At 50.9% G+C, this 6,000-nt stretch overlaps 1 protein-coding gene across 4 annotated transcripts; it reads left to right on the forward strand.

The window, feature by feature from the left end:
* The first annotated feature begins 619 nt into the window (after positions 1-619).
* Positions 620-3,415, forward strand: TSPY2 (testis specific protein Y-linked 2). 4 transcript variants are annotated; one of them, XR_001756004.2, is made up of 6 exons: positions 620-1,151; positions 1,753-1,830; positions 1,959-2,070; positions 2,179-2,317; positions 2,413-2,505; positions 3,200-3,415. XR_001756004.2 is itself a non-coding variant. In XM_005262569.5 (6 exons), exons 1-5 carry the CDS (start codon positions 666-668, stop codon positions 2,473-2,475), a joined length of 885 nt encoding a protein of 294 aa, XP_005262626.1. In that variant the 5' UTR covers positions 620-665; the 3' UTR covers positions 2,476-2,505; positions 3,200-3,415. The 4 variants fall into 4 exon arrangements, 3 of the variants coding, with proteins under 3 accessions (XP_005262626.1, NP_072095.2, XP_016885551.1); XM_005262569.5 differs by having other exon boundaries at positions 2,172-2,317; NM_022573.4 differs by having other exon boundaries at positions 2,172-2,317; positions 2,424-2,505.
* The last annotated feature ends 2,585 nt before the right edge of the window (positions 3,416-6,000 follow it).

Here is a 6,000-nt window from a genome sequence, read left to right on the forward strand (position 1 = left end):
TGGCGGCTGGCCTCTGGTGTGCCCAGGGCACAGGACTAGAGGCCCTTTGGAATGCTCCTTGGAGTACAGCATCCTCAGGGAGGAAGCATGGTACTCGGAGCCTGTATTTGCCTCGACCTGCGAGAGTACATGCCAGGGTTCTAGCCTACAGTGCAGACGAATTCCACCTCTGCACAAGCAGGTGACTTTCCTCCCACATACCCGCCCCGACTCACTTCTGCTAGGCCACCCCCGCCGCCCTCGCCCCAGCAACCAGAGAAAGTTCTCCTCTGGATCTGCAATATTCCTTATGTACCATCTACCTGGCCTGCCTAATGAAGAGAGATGTTTCCTGTGTTCATGACACATAGAGATGTTCATGGCTTGCCACACTGAGGATGTCAGGGCACAGGGCTGCCATGCCCACAATTCCAAAGGCCACGCAGCCCGCGTGTGCCCGGACGCCTAGCTACCCGGCACAAGTTCCAAGGGCTTCTCGGAGGAGGCTTGGGCAGGGAAGGCGGGGGGTGGGGGGGCTGGAGATGCAGGCCCGCCAGTGGCTGTGCCGCCCAGGGAGACGCCCACCGCCCTTCCATTGATTGGCCACGACGGGAGGAAGTCGGCCTGGGTGCGGCCCCCCGGCTCTTCGCGCGCAGTCCCTTAGGGGGCGCCTGGAAGCCCGGCGCATGCGCCCTGAGGGCTCGCTGACCTACCGGGTGCCAGAGAGGCTGCGGCAGGGTTCCTGTGGCGTGGGTCGGGCAGCACAGGCCTTGGTGTGTGCGAGTGCCAAGGAGGGCACCGCCTTCAGGATGGAGGCTGTGCAGGAGGGGGCGGCCGGGGTGGAGAGTGAGCAGGCGGCTTTGGGGGAGGAGGCGGTGCTGCTGTTGGATGACATAATGGCGGAGGTGGAGGTGGTGGCGGAGGAGGAGGGCCTCGTGGAGCGGCGGGAGGAGGCCCAGCGGGCACAGCAGGCTGTGCCTGGCCCTGGGCCCATGACCCCAGAGTCTGCACTGGAGGAGCTGCTGGCCGTTCAGGTGGAGCTGGAGCCGGTTAATGCCCAAGCCAGGAAGGCCTTTTCTCGGCAGCGGGAAAAGATGGAGCGGAGGCGCAAGCCCCACCTAGACCGCAGAGGCGCCGTCATCCAGAGCGTCCCTGGCTTCTGGGCCAATGTTGTATCCTTCTCAGTGTTTCTTCGGCCTTTCTAGTGGAGAGGTGCTCTCGGGGAAGTGTAAGTGACCGATGGGCAGCTCGGCGTCGATGTGACTCTTTGGGGAACAAAGGGGAGTTGCCACGGACCAATGTGGCTGTGGAAAGGCGGAGAAGGCGTGGGTACTATTGTCCTGCATGCGGCAGAGAAACCCTTGGTGATGCCGAGCAGCAGACGTTTGGGGCATCTTTTTGAAGAGCAGAAGCGAGTTCAGAGCGGAAGAGGTTTTTCAGTGAATGAAGCTATTTTTAAGGGAGTGTGATTGCTGCCCCTTGCTAGTCCGATCTGGGACTGGGCGTCTTCGGCTATAAGCAGATTCTGCCACTCCTCAGACACCAGCAAGTCTCTGCAAATCGCGCCTCCCCATGTCAGTGCAGTCAGCCTCAGAATCATACACCCTCTGTGAACACAGGAGGCCTTAGTTTACGGGGACGGGGAGGCGAAAGGAGATCATACATGGAAGCAGATCTGAGAAATCCCCTACCCCAGCCTCTGGGTGCTCTTAGGCCTTCTTCCCTGTTGCTCCTCGCTTTCCCTTCCATTAAAGTCTCTTTGACCTAAATCAGATTGCAAACCACCCCCAGATGTCAGCCCTGATCACTGACGAAGATGAAGACATGCTGAGCTACATGGTCAGCCTGGAGGTGAGGCCAGGAAGACTGGGGCTGGAGGGTTTAGCGGGGGAGGGTAAGGGAAATAATTCATTCCTGTAAGCAAGAGTGAGCACCTCACCCGAAAACCTATCTAAGCTTTCTCCACCTTGTCCTGACAGGTGGAAGAAGAGAAGCATCGTGTTCATCTCTGCAAGATCATGTTGTTCTTTCGGAGTAACCCCTACTTCCAGAATAAAGTGATTACCAAGGAATATCTGGTGAACATCACAGGTGACAGGTGGCTCCCAGGATGGGTAGTGGAAGGAAGATGGTGGGTGGATCATTGCCAACGGGATCCAGCCCCCTTCCCACAAAAACTCCTGTCTCTGTAGAATACAGGGCTTCTCATTCCACTCCAATTGAGTGGTATCCGGATTATGAAGTGGAGGCCTATCGCCGCAGACACCACAACAGCAGCCTTAACTTCTTCAACTGGTTCTCTGACCACAACTTCGCAGGATCTAACAAGATTGCTGAGGTGAGTCCTCACTGGGAAACATGAGGAATGACCCCGTGTGTTCCCAGCTGCTTGGGTCACCTTTCTGAGCCCTGATGAGGCCTTTCCCGATTGAGTCCCCTGACAGATCCTATGTAAGGACCTGTGGCGCAATCCCCTGCAATACTACAAGAGGATGAAGCCACCTGAAGAGGGAACAGAGACGTCAGGTGAGCCGTTAGTTGGCACTGGAGCTGTTTGATGCCCAGTATAAGGGGGTTGACACACCTGCCTATTCAGGGAGCCTGGGTGCTCATTTCAGAAATGTAGAAATTGAGGCTCCTTTCGTACATGTAGAAATTCCTTGAGAGGAAGACAGAGAGTGACAGAATCCAGGACGTTCATGGCATTGGGCTGAAAAGGCACGTTAGAGACTGCACTGCAAAGCGGGTGATAGCTGTGGAGTCTTAAGCCCAGTGAAGAATCGTCCATTTCCAGAATCAATGAGAAGTAAAGCTGAAAATCATTCAGTTCAGTCTGTGGCACTTGATTCCACGGCTGTCAACCCCACCGGCAGTCATCCCACCAACCCCATGAGATTGGGCTCCCTGAATGTGCGTCCTGGTCATCCTTGCCCCAAACCACAAAGGACTGTTTAGATTGATGGATTTCCTTAAGCTGTTGCCCCATCAGACTTGTGTGTGCTTTTAGGGCCCAGTGCATCTTGTTAGCTGACTCCCCTCACAGACAATACTGGGAATGGGGCAGGGATTGCGCAGAACAGTTTGTAACACGTGGTAGGAGGAAGTTTAAGGGATCACAAATGGGGAAGGGATATCCTTTTCTCAGCGGGCCCCACAATTGAAACATTTCAAAGTATGGCTCAGAGAAAATGCGTTTTAACATGAGTTTGTGTTTCTCTAGGGGACTCCCAGTTGTTGAGTTGAATATGATGGAGCATCAGATTTTACCTAATACAGCAGAACTCCTAAAAAGTTACAGCCATATGCAGGACAGCAGTACTCAGCATGGTCTTATGCACAGGAACTAAAGGAAAAAGAGATCGAGTCACAAAAATTCAGGAAGAGGGGGTAAATGTGGATTGTATGGAATGAAAAATAAACATTCTCAAGGATGTGTGACTCTGTGTCTGTGTGTGTGTGTGTGTCTTTGTGTTTGTGTGTGTGTGTGTGTGTGTGTGTATGTTTATCCACTTTATTCGGGTGTCATAATGAATTGATCAATCCACGTGCTTTATTCTCTTCATGGAAATAACCAGTCTGCGTTGGAGCTGGGCCTCTAAAGTTGTAGAGTGAATGGGTGTGGGATGTGTTGGGATTCTTCCTACAGGACAGAGTGGGAGAGGTAAAAGCAAAAGACAGCTTAGTTGGAGGCTGACTTCGTCCTATGGAAGCAGAGATAGTTCAAGGAATGGGGTTACTGGGTTTCCAGGGCCCAGTTTGCTGGGACCTCCAAAATCCTTCATTTTGGGTATCATCATACACAGTAGCTAAGCACAGGATGATGGAAATCTTAAAGTTCGCTTTCGTGTTGAATCCACATGTTCTTTTAAAGGTGAATGCATGATCCTTTTCTGGGACAATCAGCCTCTCAGGACTTCTAAAACATCAACGTGAGAAGAAATGGGCATGTAAGGTGTATGGAGGGACTGTGGGAAAGGTGACAGAGGCATGTGGGAAGGCATTCAGGATACGCTTTTGGCATAGATGACTAAGGGAAAACAGAAACTTACAGAAGTGAGGGGAAAGGGGGTGGATTAGTGGAATATAAGATTGTTGGAGAATCCATCCATGGACTCTCTTGTCACTTGATGACCCAGGATATGGACACTCTTGTTGATGTTTACATCTTTAGTTGTTTTAAGCTTTTCTCCAAGATTCTGTGTTAGGTGAGGAGCCAATAACGTATGTAGCTAACAACAGTACGAGTGCATTTTGTGCTCTTGCAAAGTCTAGTGAGGCTCTGTTCTCCCTCGTGATTGGCACTGCAGATTGTATCTGGAGCCCAGGGCCCCTAAATTTTCTGTGGCCTCTTCAGCATAGTTTGCCTAAGGTTTAGAACGTAAAGCGAATATAGTTGCGGAATATGTTTTGCAAGCCTCACACAGGAGGACAAAACATACAGCTTTCATTCGCGAGTGGGAGGCTGCTTCCCAGGAACACGTGTGTCTGCACAAGACAAGGGGTTGCCTCTGTCAAGGATGGGGCAGGAGGATTTCAGTGTCGGAGGCAGAACTTTCTTTCCTGTTCCCAGATGAAACAGTTCCAACACGAGCATCCATGTTGACCACACGCTACTAGAGTGCTAACATTGCTGTCCCGTATAGACTCTGGTCAGCACAGCTTCTGTGAGAAGAGCTATGTTGTTTCAGGGAAGAGGGTTTGACAGTCAAAGTTCCTGAATCTGTTGTGGTGCCTGCAATATGCATTCTACCCCTCCTGCTCGGTGTCAAAGCAGTTGAGCTTTGAAAATCTATCGCCCGGTTTTGTCCCTGCTCCTATGCAGACCTCTGAAGCTCTGGAGCGGGAGTCTTGTCCTCCTCTGACTACCGTCCCCCTGACCCACAAACACAGGAGAAACAGGTGTTCTAAGCAAATTATTCTGAAAACAGTCGGAACCCTTTGGCCCCCTCAAGCTGCCCTCTATCCTACTGTGTGCATGTCAAAGACACTGTGGTCCAGTACGGTATCCCTATAGCGGCAATGGGGCAACAGATTGGTGTGTGCACTCTGGGCAACTCAGATTAGGAAACGTCTGGGGACTTGCCTATAACGAGGTCGTCTTAAAACGTGTTGCCCCAAATTTAAGGCATAGGAAAATGTTGAGGAAAGGGTCTTGCAATGATTTTTCTAGGAGGTAAATAGATAAGAAAATGACCGTAAATAGATGCCAGGGCTAGTTTTGGAGCTAGCCTGTTTTAAAGTGGTGGTAGGGGAGGAGCTTTTTCCAAGGCAGGTAGCAAACCAGGAACTGTCTACGATGGATGGGTGTGCCACGGGTTGGTGGCTCAGCCATATTGCCACCCCACCGAGTGAATGCAGCAGACTGGGCTTCTTCCTTGAATCCTACGTGCAATTCAGTCTAGTGATTTCACATGAGATCCCTTCTTCTGGTATTATCACAGATCGTGCTGAATTATACAGGCTGTGTAATGCTTCTTCCACTGAATATCCGTGCACGTGGGCCACAGATGCTAAGGGCACTGACAAATTTGCACCGTGCCTCAGTAACTCGGAAGCACATCTGTGATTTGTACCGACAGGGACTTGGTGTCTTTTCGTGTTTAAAGTAGCACGTGTGTGTTTGTGGTTGCGTATGTTTATTTCTCTGTGCGGGTTTGTATATTTTCTCTGACTCCACCTATGTCTCCGTGGTTCCGATATTTTTCCACACTCCCTGCGGCAATTTGCACATGCCTATCTCTACAACCATTGTAGACTTTGTATCTGTGTCTTTGAACATCTGTCACTCTCTCTCCCTTCCTTTTTTCCTTTCCTTCCTTTACACCCCTCCTTTCATCCTTCCCTTGCTTCCCCACCACACTCTCTCCATCTGTATCGTCTATCTTTCTATTCTCTATCTGGGTTTACTTTCTAATTCTGAATTCAAGGGCATTGAATTGAAAAGAAGCACTCTTCGTACTTTTATGTGTTTTAACTCATTTGGGGAATTTGGCTTGTTATTATTTACAGGGTTCTCTCTGC

This window comes from Homo sapiens, chromosome Y, assembly GCF_000001405.40.
Source record: "Homo sapiens chromosome Y, GRCh38.p14 Primary Assembly".
Classification (NCBI taxonomy): Eukaryota; Metazoa; Chordata; class Mammalia; order Primates; family Hominidae; genus Homo; species Homo sapiens.